Source organism: Homo sapiens, chromosome 8 (assembly GCF_000001405.40).
Source record: "Homo sapiens chromosome 8, GRCh38.p14 Primary Assembly".
Taxonomy (NCBI): Eukaryota; Metazoa; Chordata; class Mammalia; order Primates; family Hominidae; genus Homo; species Homo sapiens.
In genome coordinates this window covers 57,326,994-57,342,778 of record NC_000008.11, presented here as the reverse complement: position 1 = coordinate 57,342,778, position 15,785 = coordinate 57,326,994, and positions in this window count along the sequence as shown.

Sequence of the window (15,785 nt, the reverse complement as noted above, 5' to 3'; positions counted from 1 at the left end):
CCTCATAGACCCTTCTCCAGGAAGCTTCTACCAGGGGTCACAGCAAAGCCCCTCTTCTGTCTGGCATTCCACTCCAGGCCTTCTCCTTTTCTCTCTCTGCACCTTCTCCTGGGAAATCTCATCCAAATCCATGGCCCTAAGTATCTATTAAAGATGCCCCTAAGAAACCATTACTGAACATATAGACCAAGAAATAATACTGATAAATGATTGCTGCGGTGATTACACAAATCTACACACGATAAAATTTCATAGAACCAAACCACACACCACACACACACACACACACACACACACACACACACACACACAAACAATAAATCCAAAAGTATGAGAGAGGTCTCAATCAATTTGGAAAGGTTTTTTTGTTTTTTGTTTTTTGCCAAGGTTAAATGTGTGCCCATAACACAGCCTCAGGAGGTCCTGACCACAGATGCCCTAGGTAGTGGGCGCACAGCTTGTTTTCCTACATTTGAGGGGGGCATGAGATATCAACCAATATTATCAGATGTACATTGGTTCTGTGCAGAAAGACAAGACAACTCCAAGTGGGGCCTTCTAGGTCATAGGTGGACAGGAAACCTAAGGTTGCATTCTTTGAGGTCTTTGATCAGCCTTTCCCTGAATACACAATTTACATGTGGGAGGGGATAGAATAATAGTCACTTATGCCTTAATCTGACTCAGTGAATCTGCATCTTTACAAAAGCAATAAGGCAGAGGAAGCAATTAGATATGCATTTGTCTCAGATGAGCAGAGGGATGACTTTGAGTTCTGTCTGTCCTTTGTCCCACACCTGTGAACATAAACTATCAATTCACATTGCCAGGGTGAAATTCAACAGAACTGTTTTCAGGTAAAGATCTTGCGATCTACAAAGAATTTCCTTGTGGGCAAATCGTGATGGAAGAATGTAGCTTTAAAAAAATATATTTTGTAGCTATCTTATTTAGGACTAAAATGGGAGGCAGGTTTGCCTGACTCAGTTCCTAGCTTAGCTTTTCCCTTTGGCTTAGTGATTTCGGGGGTCCTGAGATTTATTTTCCTTTCACAACACACACACACACAGAAACACACACACACACACACACACACACACACACACGAGGTATTAAGCTGGTAAAATATGGATATTGCGTAGGAGTCCTGAGGCTCACCTTGATTGGACTTCTTGGATCATATGCCCAATCCCAAACCAATGACCATGGCAGGGGGAATGGAACAGCTCAATCAACCAGGGCCCTTCCAGCTGGGAGTGGAGCAGGCTCCCCTCAGGCACAGAGATATCCTGGCTGGGATGGAGGAAGTGGTGAACAAATACCAGTGGACAACCAGCCATTCTGGCCACTCGCCCTAATCTGCATTTGAAGCTCACCTTTTCCTCTGGTCTCCAGAGCTGGACACTGGATATCCAGCACTAGACGTTTCTTCAATGCTGCACAAGCATTCACATTCAACAAGTCTAGAAATGAACTCTTGCCCTCAAGCTCACTCCCCCTCCTTCCAGATTTTCTGTCCTGGTTGATGGTCCCACTCACCATCCTAGTTCCCCAAAACCTGGGAATCAAGTCTGGTCAATTCTGTCCCCTTGGCAACTTTCATATCTGGCACCATTTCTTCTCTTCCAGTTGCCACCAACCAGACCCAGATCCCAATACCCTGTACCCCCAGGCCACTGTCTTCAGGCCAAATATTTGCTCTCTAGCTCTTACCAGAAGCTTGCCAACCCCCACCTCAGTCATGGCGATGGCACTGTAACTGGTTTCCCCACGCCTGTCCATTCTCCACGTCTGACTGCATCATTTAACAATGTCAGGTATGTGGCCCCTAGTGACGACCCTTCCTTTGATTGTCACCCACAGCCTCACCCTACAGCTTCACACCCACCCTGTGCTCAGGCACCCTACACCAGCAAAGGCTCCCAAGCACACCATGGTTTTTCGCTTTTGCTTTTTACTTCAGGTACAAGAGGTTGAGTTACTCATATTCCTCAATATGATCATTGCTCCATGTAAGATCCCATCTTTCTAATGATCAATTTTATCTCTTCTATTTCCATAGACCACTCCCACTTCCCTTCTTCCCAAAGGCAATAATGTGTAATATGTATCTTTCATTTGGGTCTTGCAAAATATATATTGCTGAGTTTTTTATTTGTATTATGTGTCTTTTAATGCCTATATATAGTGTTGTTTTATATATTACATTCTGGGTTTTTTTTAACCATTTCTCTCAACACTGTGTTTTAAGACACATTCCTTTTGCTCTTTGTATGACTCATTTAACAATTTTTATTGCTTTGTAGTTCTCCAAATTGTTGATTAAAACCACTTTATGCATTCATTCTTCTGGATTGCTTTTGAATTGCCACCAGTACAAACAAAGCTGGAGGGCATAAATTTGTATATGCCACTTATGGATGTAGGTGAGAATTTCTTTGAGAACTATTCCCAGGAGTAGAACAACTGGGTCACAGAATAAACGTGCTTGATTTGGCACATGTTTATTCTTCTGCAGAAGTGCAGCTACATTCTCTCTTGAAGACCAATGTGGCACTTCCTTTATTCCCTCCCATCCTCATCAACACTTGCGTATATTCAGGTTTCTAAATTTTTTCAGTTGAGTGGTTTTAAAATATTATTTCATTATTGCCTTAATGTACAGTATATTTCTGTTTACTGTAATTTGGGCATCTCTTGATATGCTTGTTTGATATGGGGGAATCTTTTATAAATTACATGTCCCTATCCTTTGCCCACTTTTCCATCGTGGCTGCTGATTTTCAGGAGTTCCTTTGCCTCTCGTTCTTACCCCTGTCCCCGTGGGCCTAATCCATCTCTGGTCCTTTTAAGGTGGCTGTGTGCTCACATGGCACACTGGAAAGCAGGCATTCCCAGCCATAGACAAGCCCCTGCCTCAGGTGGTGATGTGAGATCACTGCTGTGTTCTTCTTGAGTTTTCTGCTCTTCCATCCTGGACCTATGCTCTTGCTCAGTGACTTCTGGGATCCACCAGGCTCATTCCCTTGATCTTGTCTCAATAAAAAGCCTTGCTTTCCCTGCCTCCATTCAGTTCTGGCTGCTGTCTCATGCCCTCCTTTCCCCTTGCCAAGCCAGGGTGGGGGCTGGGTACAGCCACCTCGGCTACTGCTCCTGCGGCTCTGCTGATTGCTTGGCTGGGAAGTTAGAGGGGGTCCCCTGGTTATTTATGTTGCTCATGTCCAGGAAATTGTTGGGTTAAGCCCCCTTTGGGAGGACCAGCCCGGGATGGGCACCTACCTGTGAAGAACCGGTGATGATAATCAGACAAAGCCTCTGGGCCACTTTCCTGTCTCTAGGGCAGCCCCTAGTTGGGGGACCCTGGTGATGCTCAACAGCTCTGGGCTCTGTGTGTCCTGGACAAGGCTGACCAGCTCCTGCCTGCCCCCAGCAGCACTGCCCCATTGGTGGACTCCCCCTACCCCATGAAACCAGCTACAGAGGAAATGAAGCTTGATCTCTGGCTGGAATAGGCCAGGGATCCTGGCTTTCCTACTTACAAATAGAGTGATTTAGGGCAATTTACTTAAGCTCCCAGTTTTCTCGTTAGTGTGGTGGGAGCAATAGTGCCTCCTCCAGGGCTCTGTGGAGACTCGCTATGATATGTTTGAGGTACTGGAACAATGGCAGGTAGAAAGTCCTCCGTGTCTGTGAAGTGTGATTGTTCTATAGCCAGTGCGCGATGTTTGGATGGGAAAGGAAAAGAGTCAAGGCCATCAAGGGAAGGGAACCAGCATTTGTCAAGTCCACATATATTTGTTGAGTGCCCTGTGGTTAGGCAGTGATCAAAACTGTGCTCAAAATGGTCCCAGCTCTCAGAGCTCATGGTCTAGTATGGAAACTAGATACTTGGGGCTGAGAATGGGGCTAACTCCAGTGAGTATAAAACCACAACCTGGACAGTATGCTCTGAAGGAGTGGAAGAGTGTTCTGAGGGACTAAGGCTCTGTGAGGTGGTGGGGGCTGGGCTGGGCTTTCCTTTCCTGGACACCACACCAGGCATTTCCAGGATCATTATTCACTGAATCACCTCAGCAGTCCCCTGGGGCAGGTCTCTTTGATGCCTGTTCTACAAGTAAATAAACAGTGGCTTAGAGAGGTTGAGCTACTTGCTCAGTGTCACATAGCAAGGGTGGACAGAGTTAGGAGGGTCAATCGCAAACCCACCTAAATGGAATTCAGTCCACACCTTTCCTACCACTCCTCACTATGCTGACCCTTAGAATTTTGGTTCACAGGGGTCACCATCAGTCTCTTTATCCCGAGGGGAACAGGCTGTGATGGCTGCTGAGGCAACCTGCATTTCTGTCCCCCACAGCTGGCCATGAGGGGACAGCCCTTGGAGAGGCCTTGGGGAAGGCCAGGTTATCCAGGTCCAGAAAAGAGCCAGCCATGGACTCTGTGACTCAGCCTAGGGACGAAGGACCCTTAAGGGTCTCACTGACACAAGGCTGCTGGCGGAGTACCTGGAAAGGATGAAAGTTCAGCAGCTCTCAGGTGGCCACATCTGTGCCCCAACACTGTCTGAAAAAGATGTGGAACCCAAGGGGGCAAACTCCAGGAATAAAATTACACTTCGCAGCAGGTGGGGGCATAATATTCAGAACTGACCGTTCCTTTTATTTGTCCCAAATATGACAGAAAATTCTACTTTAAATGACTGCCACTGGGGCATATTTAATCCATTCTTCATGTATTGACCATCAGAGTGCAGTGACCTGGCACGAGGCACCCACTTGAGGCACTAGAGCTTCAGAGAAACAGGGGAGACTTCTGTCCCCAGGGAGCTCTCGGGCTATAGGGAGACAGGGACAGACACGCCAGCAGTCATTCTGAAACAGCATCCGTGTTGAAGATATAGCCCTGCACGAGATATCATGGGACCCTGATGGGGAAATTTAGCCCAGGAAATCCACACAGGTTTCCTGGAGGTGGTGATGCATGAGTTAGTATTTGTCCAGCTATGAAAGGAGAGCCCAGATGAGAACAAGAGGCAGGAAACAGAGGGCCTGCGTGAGGATGCTGCAGACAGGTGTGTGTCTCAGAGAGTTGGTGACGGGGTGTGGAGAGCGAGGTGGAGGCGGACCGGGCTCCACACCTTCCTGAGTCTTACTGAGGAGCAGGCCCTGGAGACTCACTCTGGGGCTAGAAGCATGGGATGTCCTGATGGATTGGGTGGACATGAGGGAAAAGAGGGAATCAAAAACTTCACCTATATACCAGGGCCGGCGATGCACACACCTGTCATTTCAGCTACTCGAGAGGCAGATGCAGAAGGAGTACTTAAACTCGGTAGTTCAAGCCCAGTCTGGGAAACAAAACAAGATTCTGTCTCAAAAAAAAAATTATTTTAATACCTGGAATTTTTCCCACAGATACCATGGATATTTGTGAAATGATGTTTATTAAAGCATTTTTATAATAAAAACTAAATGCCAATCAATGAAGATGAGGTTAAATAATGATGGTGCATGGAACACTACACAAGCATTAAAATACATTCTTTTTAGAACTACTGTGGGATACTCTACAGTGGCCTCCAATGACCCTGGCCTTTTGGAGTTGACAACCTCATGTGAAGGTGAGCGATGTCACTTCTAAGACCAGGATACAAACTGTGGCTTCCATCTTGCTCTCTCTTGACTGTATCCGTGCTCACTCTGAGGGTGGCCCTGTGGACAGGCCCAAGTGGCAAGAAACTGATGTCTATGGCCAGCAGCCATTGAGGACCTGCAACCTGCAGACTGCTACTTGAGTTAGCATGCAGTGGATGCTTCTCTGGCTTCCCCCGATTGCGGCCAGTGAGAGATCCTGAGCCAGAGGGCTTGGCTAAGCCCACCATGTTACCGACCTGGAAATGACAGTCCCCATGCAGCCCTTCAGGTGGCACCAAGAGTGAGGGACAGGGAAGGGTCAGGGACTCACCCTGGCTCCAGCAAGCACCTACTTGCAATTAACCTAAAGCTACAATGCCATGGTGACTAACAAGTGAGAAAAAATATGTAAATATACCTGAAAGAATGCCCAGGAGGCCAGGTGTGCTAGGTCATGCCTGTAATCCCAGGACTTTGGGAGGCAGAGATAAGAGGATAGCCTGAGGTCAGGAGTGTGAGACCAGCCTGGCCAATATGGTGAAACCCTGTTTCTACTAAAAATACAAAAATTAGCCAGGCATGGATTAGGTGGTAATCCCAGCTACTTGGGAGGCTGAGACTGGAGAATCGCATGAGCCTGGGAGGTGGAGGTTGTAGTTAACCGAGATTGTGCCAGTGCACTCTAGCCTGGGAGACAGAGGAAGACTCCATCTCAAAAAAAAAAAAGGAAACTGGTAATACTGCGTGTTTCTTCAGAGGGAACTGGGAATACTTAAGGTCATTGGGAATTAAGGTGAGGAAGAAGTTTTTCACTGTATACTCTGGTGCCTTTGAAATATTGAACCATGTGAACATCTAATCTATTCAGTAAATATGCAGATATAATTTAAAGAGGAAAAAGATTGAACTTTCCCTCTAGACAAGGGATTATGAAAGCATGGGGAACAGGGCAGACTGATGATGCCTTGCCTCTCACTCCATCTGGGACTGACCATCAACTAATCGATGATGGATGGATCCAGGAAGCTGCTCAGAACCCACAGAGACAAATTCTCAGTGCTCCCACTGTACATACACCCACCACACACACCCCAGAGCGTTGTTTCACCTCCTTCTCTGCCTACTTGCCCATTTCAATGTATTACACTCATGAGGAAACAAGGACCATGTATTTGAGTGCTGCAATTAGGGAAGGAAATGGCCCCAATCACCCGTCCCAATCCCCTGTTCTGGCTGGTTCACTAATAGCAACTCTTCAATCTGAGGATGGATGGAATCGGTTGGGGGTACAGTAGGGTTTCCCATCTGAGTAGAGCTTGGGAAGTAGGGATTGCCTTCCTCACAGGAAGTGTTTGTCCAGCTTTGAGAGGAGAGCCCAGATGAGAACACGAGGCAGGAAACAGAGGGTCTGTGTGAGGACCCTCAGAGGCATGGGCTGGCCAGGGTGGGTCTAGGGTAGTGCTCCCAGCCCTAGATGGCCCTGGTAGAGTGCTCCACCTCCTCCAGAGACACCCTCCTGCTTCTTGACAGCTCCAGCTCCACAAGCATGGGGAGAGGAAAAAAGAAGGAAGGGATCTCCCTCTATCTGCTCATTGTCCCCAAGGCCCAATCAGAATACAGAGGGTGTATAATGACTAAATAGCTCAATTGCTTTAATTAGATTAGGGAAACAAGGTTAGTCAAAGAAAACATCCTTTTAGTGATCTTTTCTTGACCAACACAAGGATGCCTTTTTTCATGGCATCATCTGGACCCCAAACAAGTCAATATAAATGTTGCTTCTCTACAGAGGCGGAAAACAGCATGCACAAAAGACCTCGCAGACATGACTGACCCCTGCATTTCCTTTGTCAACTCATTCCCCATCATTCAATCATTATAAGAAGACCTTTCACAAATTCCCTATGCACTCTATTCTGCAGAAGGAATTTATATATATTGTGTAATTTAATTCTACCAGGTGGAATTGTCATCTCCATTTACAGAAGAGGGCTTCGGGGACGTTAAATACTCTTCTCCAATTGGACCAGGTCTTTGGACCAGAAACCTTTGGTCAGACCAAAGGTTTCTCTGCCCCAGGTCTGTGCTGTCCTCACCCTCTTCAGGAAAGCAGCCCTGCCAGATCCTGCAGGCATGAGAGCTGCTGGCTTCTTCCAGGGGCAGCATCCCCTGCCAGTGCTCTGTGCTGCTTCTGTCTCCACCTGATAGCATCTGACCTGTTTGGAGCCAGTGTGAAATAAATCTATCTAAAGCCAAGGGGAAGAGATCCCTTTCACTTTGTTAAGTTGTGCTCCTTTTGTAGGTTATTTAAAAAAATTGACAAATCAAATGCTTTAAAAATAAAAAATAAAACTATTTCATTCAAATAGCCTCCAATTGTACAATGCCTTGTTGTTCTAAAGGGGGAGAGGTGGAGATATTTAGGGTTTCAAACCTGATGGATGAGTTGCTGGACAGAGTAACTGGACGGAAATTGCTCAGCAGGCATGGCGCCTGCAGGAGCTCATAAGGCACCTGTAGTTTCTCCTAGGTGCTTGGCCACTAACTCATCACCAGGGCATGCTGGCACATGCTAAGGAGTAAACCAAGTCCTGGGTGTTGAGCCCTTTTCTTCTCCTGGCTATTGGTGGTCATTATCTTTTCTTCTGAACTAGTATCTTATGACTGGGATTGAGAAAGAGCAACTTAATAATCATTTTCCCTTTCTTCCTTATCAATCAAACCTAGATTTAATTCAAGAAAGCAATGTGTCCTACTAAAGAGCTACATTTTCCAGCCACAATGCTGTGTGGTCCTGTGACAGTTTTTAAAATAAAATTAAATGGAAGATCTTGGGTGAAACTTCTAGGAAATCTCCTTCTGCCCTTTAATGTTTCCTTTCTTTCTTCCTGGAACAGAGGTAGGATGGCTGGAGCTCCAGCAGCCATCCTGTGACTACAAAGGGCAAAAAAACACCCTTGCTAGGGATGGCTGTAAGGAAGCACAGACGGAGAATGGGTCTCTGACCAGCTGCCAAATCCATTATGGAATGCCCTTTACTGGACTTCTTTTGCCTAATATAAACATACATCCCAGTCTTCTTTAAGCTACTGTTATTTATATTATCTGTATATATAAACAACATTACATTAAGGAGACATCAAGATGATAATAGCATATTAAATAGAAAAAGGGGAAATTACAAACCCCAGATGTTGTGCCTCAATCTTGGAGCCATCATCTGTAACTGGCTCTTCCATTGACTCTTTTGGCTTCATGTTAGCTTCCAGGATGACTCCTTCCCTCATACCTCACAAGCCGGGGAATCTCAAAGGGAGTCCTTGAACACTCCCCAGGGTATGCGGGAGCCAGGATGCAGCCACTTGCCAGAGCCAGTGGTGTGCCTCTCTCCCCACTATATGTTCCATGGGTGGGTAGCCTGAAATCAGTTGTGGTGGGAGCATTTGCGCCACAGCAATGGAAAATGCTTCACATCAGGGCTGGTTCCTGGGAGAACTATTCATAAACATTTACCAGCACACCACCAGCTGCTCCTCTCCGTAGATCACCAATATGACCATAAATGGTCTTTGGAAACAATACTCAGATAGTGGTTTCCAAACTTGGCCATGCAACAGAATCTGAGGAGCTGTTTGAAGACAGCATCTTCAATCCTGCCTCTAGTAGTTGTGAACCAGCAGGCTCCATCCATGCACCACAGACAATGACAAAATGGGGATCATTTTGGGTGTGTGCTTGAGTGGATGAATGGGTGGAAGAAACTTTGAATAACGCTGCAGTTCCTTGGAGGAGTTATACAGCATCACCAAACTCTCCACCTATTATGATAATTGTACCTTCCTGAGCTCTTCTAGAAGTAGACAAAGCTCCTTCCATTTGGCAAAGATGAGATATACCTAGGGAAATTCTTCCCTCAAGCTATCAAAGCATGACAAGTTGAAATAGATTTTCCTGCAAAAGCGTGATGGAAGAGAAAGACCCCCTTAGTTCAGATTAGACCAAATAAAAGCTGTACTTCCTTCACATGTCCCAGTTGTAGTCTGACTACATAAGAAGTTTCATCTGGGACCCAGGATGTTGGACTTCCCCTGGGAACTGGTTCCTTCCAGTGGCCACATACACCATATATTTGATCCTCCTCTTTATCTCACAGACCCTACGCAGGATAAAAGTGCTCACGGGAATTCAAAGGATAGAATAATCAAGAAAAAGTGGGCCTCATCTTTCATGGAAGAGGTGACTTTAAAGGATGGTAACAGCGTCCAGGAAGAGGGAACCACTAGGGCACATTGAGCGTTCTGGCCCAGATACGGTAAATAATGTTATTTGGGGCTAGACTGGTGTGGGCGTAATTTGTGTAAAATAATGCTGTCCTTTAACTTGCATAATCTCCCCCTACCCCCAAAACATAGAATCTTAGACTACTAGAATTTCAGGTTTAGATATTTTATTTTAGCATTGTCACAGACAAACTGCATGTTTTATTGCTGGGCCGGCCATGCAGGGGCTGAGAGGCTGTCACATGGCCAGGGCCACACAGCCAGTCAGTGATGGAGCCAGGCTGGCCCTCAGATTTCTTGAGGCCTCCTTAGCTCAGGTTTCTTTCCTCTGTCTAACAGCAGTGGCTTCATGCCTGTTCTTCCTTCTGTGAAGCATCAGCTTCAAACTCTATCCTGTGAGGACCTTGAATGTCTTGAATGTGCATGAACTTGGAGTGAACTTGGTCTATGCATGGAGGTCTGTGGCTCAGCCTGCCTGTCGCCTGTCTCTGCCTATTCTATCCTTTTGTCTCTAGAGGGGACAGCAATGCTTTCCCCATATAGTAATTTTCATTTGGTGCCTAATGGATTTCATACTGATAAACTGGAGCCACGTACTGCGGTTTGTCCTATGCTTAGATGGACAGTAATTTGTGGGCTATTATAAGGCCCTGTCTGCTCCACATGATTCCTAGGAGTTGTTAAGATTGTCCTGTAGGAAAGATTGCTGAGGTCCTCTGGATAATTCCTGGGAAGGAAGTGACAGGCTGACTCGTCACACAGGCTCCATATCTGTGACTTAGCAGGGTGGAGCATGCACACGATGGTGTGGAGGACAGAGAGTTCACAGCCTGTGTGAGGGCGGGTGCTGGGCTGGGGTTTCTGGCACTGGCTAAATGCCTGTTCGTCTCCTCACACTGTAGGCAGGTGTACCCAGGCTGGTAGTGGAGCTGGACACAATGCCATCCGAAGAGGACAGGGCCTCCTAGGGATGCTGCAGAGGATCCCCGAGGGGCATAGCCAGAGAGAGGCCAGCCTGAAAACACTCTTGTAAGTTTCTAAATTTTTGTTTTGGGCTGATCTTGCTCAGGATCTGTGAGAAGAGTGTAGGAACATTGGGCTGCCCTCTCCTGCCCATCAAAATGCTTCATGCCATGGCAGAAGGAGGACAGAGTTTAGGGTCAAGTCTGGGTGGACATCTCTTCCCATCTGTCTCATTTTCTTATTTGGAAAATTTACTTACTCACTTGAGCCTCAGTTTTACCGTCTGTAACATGAGGAAAATAATACCTACCTCAATTGCTTCATAGGGTTTTATAAAACTAAAATGAAATGCATGATCTCCATAGGGGCAGAAACTCTGAATCATTTTCAGCATTTAACATGCTGACTGACACAAAGTGGGCATGTAATGTTTATTGGCTAAAACTCTGTAAACTGTAAGGAATGTTACACACATAGTAATTATCAGTGATAATTCAGCTAATGGTATTTGACCACAGACTTCTTGCCTAGGCACGGGGAAAGAGAAGGAAGAAAGAAGATCTTTGCTCTGTTTTTCCTAGGGCACACAGAGTTTCTCATGATGCCCCAGGTACCACCCATGACTTTGGAGATGGGAGTGGGGGATTAAGGATGCCAGACACAGGACCCTTGGGCAGGGAATGGGGCCCTGGATCTTTAATCATTTACGAAGGCCTGGAAGATATAGAGTGCTTTCTCATTCCTCAGGGGCTACAAAAAGATGCAGGGCACATTGCGTGGCCCCCAGGGAGAATGCAGCATGGTGGTCTTTCATTCAAACCAAGGCCACAAGTAACTATCAGATGAGGTTGGAAGCAGAAAGCAGAAAGCAGAAAGCAGAAAGCACCCAGAGAGGAACAAGGAAAGGGCTATGGAGCTCAGGAACTCAATCAGAACCATGATGGAGTGGAGGTGTCTCCATCACTGAGATATTGCAGTCTTCTGTTAATCTGCCTGATAGAATTAAAGTATAATTATTGGAGCGGAAAAGGGTCAAAGAGATGAAATTCAGCACAGCCACCATGGGCCAGCTGTGAGCAGTGCTGGGTCCAGCAGAGTGGAAATACAGAAATAGAGAAGACACAGGCCTTACCTTCAGGGAACTTAAAACAGTAAGCTATAAAAAAGGCAAGGTGACAGTTGTATTTCTTATGGAGACATGATGGGATCCAAGAGTGAGTAGGCTGACCAAGGAGGTGGCATTTGGATGGATCTTGAAGGATCTGTAGAGTTTCAGTTGGAGACAGATTAGAAGTGAGAAAATGCACTGTGTGTGGAAGCCCACGCGTTCTTCAGGGAATAAGAGGATACGAATGGAGTGTGGACGGCTGACAAAGGGATTGTGAAGGAGAGTTGGGAAGGAGGAACAGGGCCAGAGTGTTCATTGTCACATCAGGAGTTCATTCTGGGAGCAGAGGTGGGCCTTGGTGCTTTCCCTCCATTCACTGGATTTAAAGAGAAGGGGACTGAGGCCACGAGGCCGAGGTGGCGCTCGACTTCAGTCCTGCTCCTCCCCACCTTCCGGGCTCCATCTGGCTCAGTGCTCACCTGTGACAGCCGTAGGGGACCTGTCCTCCCCATGGGTGCCCAGACCTCAGGAATCTGGCTGAGGCTGGCTGGCTTGCTGTGTGGGTCTGGGCACAAACATGTGGAAAAATTGAGAATCTCAAAGCAGAACAGCTATCCCTAATGTCCATCAAGTGGGTTTCATATGTTTAATGAATAGGGATAACTTATGCATTTTGGGCTTTGGAATGCATGACCTCATCTGATTTTCCCTTTCCTCCATCCAAGCTGGTGGGTCCGGGACTCACTGACCCTTTGGAGGAAGTGAAGGGAGCAATGAGGGAGCTCACCTGGTTGAATTCCTGGGGTCTTTCCTAGGGACCTTTGTGTTTGTGATGGGGAAGTAGAATGGCTGGGAGGACAGCGTGGCAAATGGGTTGCCTTCGGGAATGACACAGGAGGAAGGTGGCTGTGGCCGAGGGTAAGGAAAAACTGCCAGGAAGGAAGACTGAATGGGAGTTTCCTGGCAGTGATAAACAGGAGCAGAGATGGGCCTGAGGCCACTGAGAGGAGGCTTTAAGAATGGGAAGTGTCCCCATCTCTACTAAAAATACAAAAATTAGCCCTGTGTGGTGGCAGGTGCCTGTAATCCCAGCTACTCAGGAGGGTGAATCAGTAGGAGAATCACTTGAACCCAGGAGGTGGAGGTTGCAGTGAGCCGAGATCACACCACTGCACTCCAGCCTGGGTGACAGAGCGAAACTCCATCTCAAAAAAAAAAAAAAAAAAAAGGTGGGGGGTGGGTGGGAAATGGGAAGTGTGTGCTAGCATCACATATTTTTTCCTTTTCTCAAAAAAAAAAAATAAAAAATTATCATCTTTAGCTCATTGAGTTTCTTTCATCAGCTTTTTGTAATAAATCAGATGTCCCTGGGCTGTACTGACCAGTAGATGTTGGAGTGTTCACCTGCAGAACACTTTCCCTCTGGGAAATGCTGGAAGGGGAAGCCTCATGTCAAGAAAGCCATTAACACACACTGTGTAGACACTGACACACACACTATGGAGAGAGGTCACTGGGGCCAGAGAGGGCAGACAGCCATCTGATGCCCTCAGCTGGAACTGCGCTGGGGCAAGGTCACTGAGCCTCGGAGATCAAAGAGCAGATGACAGCTAAGAGTAATTGATGAACCAGGGACTGTAGGAAGAGTTATTTTACGTAAGGCCTTTGGGAGATACTTAAAGAATTTAGGAACCCAAACTGATGGTGCTTAGGCTGGATCCCTGGTCTGGCACCAAGCATACAGACTTTTGGTTGTACATGCCACACCTCAAAATCCGCCCCTGCTTCCCTGAGCCACAGTCAATCCTGAGGTAACAAACAAACAGAAGTCATTTTTTTGTTTATAAGAAAGTTTTTAAAATCAGCTAAATGGAGGTCTACTCTACATATAATAAAATCCACCAGTTTCGAGTGCACAATTTAGGGGGTTTTGTGAATTGTGTAAGCACTCCTATGGTTGTAATAGAGCAGAGTGCCATCACTCAGAATGGCAATTTGTTTTCAGTTCACCTAGTGATAGGCACGTGGGTTTTTTTCTAGTTTGGGGTTATTATGAATATAGCTGCTATAACCATTTTCTTGGAAGTCTCTGTGTAGGTATATGTTTTATTTTTTGACATTAGGACATACACAGGAGTGGGATTGCTGTGTTATATACTAAGTCTATGTTTAACTTCTAACAGTATGCTGCCATGCTGTTTTCTAAAGTGGCTGTATCATTTTTCGTTTCCACTGACAACATATGAGAGTTCTAGTTCCTTCACATCCTCATCAGGGCTTGGTATTATCAGCCGTTTTAGTGGGTTGTGTAATGGAATCTCATTGTAGTTTAATTTCATTTACCGGTTAACTAATGATGTTCAGCATCTTTTCGGGCGCGGTGGCTCATGCTTGTAATCCCAACACTTTGCGAGGCTGAGGTGGGCGGATCACCTGAGGTCAGGAGTTCGAGACCAGCCCGGCCAACATGGTGAAACGCCATGTCTACCAAAAATTCAAAAATTAGCTGGGCGTGGTGGCAGGCACCTGTAATCCCAGCTACTCTGGAGGCTGAGGCAGGAGAATTGTTTGAACCCAAGAGGCAGAGGTTGCAGTGAGCCAAGATCACACCATTGCACTCCAGCCTGGGCTCCTGGGCAACAAGAGTGAAACTCCACTTCTAGAAAAAAAAAAAAAAAAAGAAGTGGCACTCTCGTTGGTAGATGGTGTCCTTTATGGAGCTCAAACCACTCCCCAATTTTACAGAGGTGAGGGAGCCTAAGATGATGAAGGAAGTCTGGGGCAGAACTGATGCAGGCACGCTGTGGCTCTCCAGAGGTTTTTCAGGAGACAGCCTTACCTCCATGGCAGTTTTATCTTTGAAATTCTCAACAATTTTTAACAAGTTTTCAAAAACAAATTTATACTCTAATGTTTGCAGCCGATAGCAGGGAAGTGATCTCACCAAAATTTTTCAAACTTTTTTTTTTGAGACTGAGTTTTGCCCTTATTGCCCAGGGTGGAGTGCAATGGCACCATCTCAGCTCACCGCAATATCTGCCTCCTAGGTTCAAGTGATTCTCCTTCCTCAGCCCTCCGAGTAGCTGGGATTACAGGCATGTGCCACCACACCCAGCTAATTTTGTATTTTTAGTACTGACGGGACTTCTCCATGTTGGTCAGGCTGGTCTGAAACTCCCGACCTCAGGTGATTCACCCGCCTCAGCCTCCCAAAGTGCTGAGATTACAGGCGTGAGCCACTGCCCCTGGCTAACTTTTTGAACTCTTGATAAGCAGTACCCTGGGGGTGCAAGGTCATCCGACTTATTTGCATGCCTATTGGTAGCACATTAGGCATTGAGGGACTTAAGAACTGGGATTTATAAGACAGTGGTAAACTGGGATTCCTCAAGTGATCTAACTCTAAAGTTTAGTTGTTTTTAATGCCTTGTTTTGATGAAGAAATATGTGTAGACCTGAATTAATAGAATGACCAATGCATCACTACAGTCTCCCTAACCACTAATGTATTCATATGTTCAGACATTCATAGAAATGGCAGGAAAAAGCTGTTCTAGCATCTCCTACAAAAACAAAGCAAGTAATTGTGGCAGCCCAATTAATTTATTTAATGAGTATTTATTGAGTGTCAATTATTTGCCAGCTCTGGGATGATGAAGAAAAAAAATTAGCACATCAGGCCAGGTGCGGTGGCTCATGCTTGTAATCCCAGCACTTTGGGAGGCTGAGGCAGGCAGATCACGAGGTCAGGAGATCAAGAGAATCCTGGTGGGGGGTGGCGCCAAGATAGCCGAATAGGAA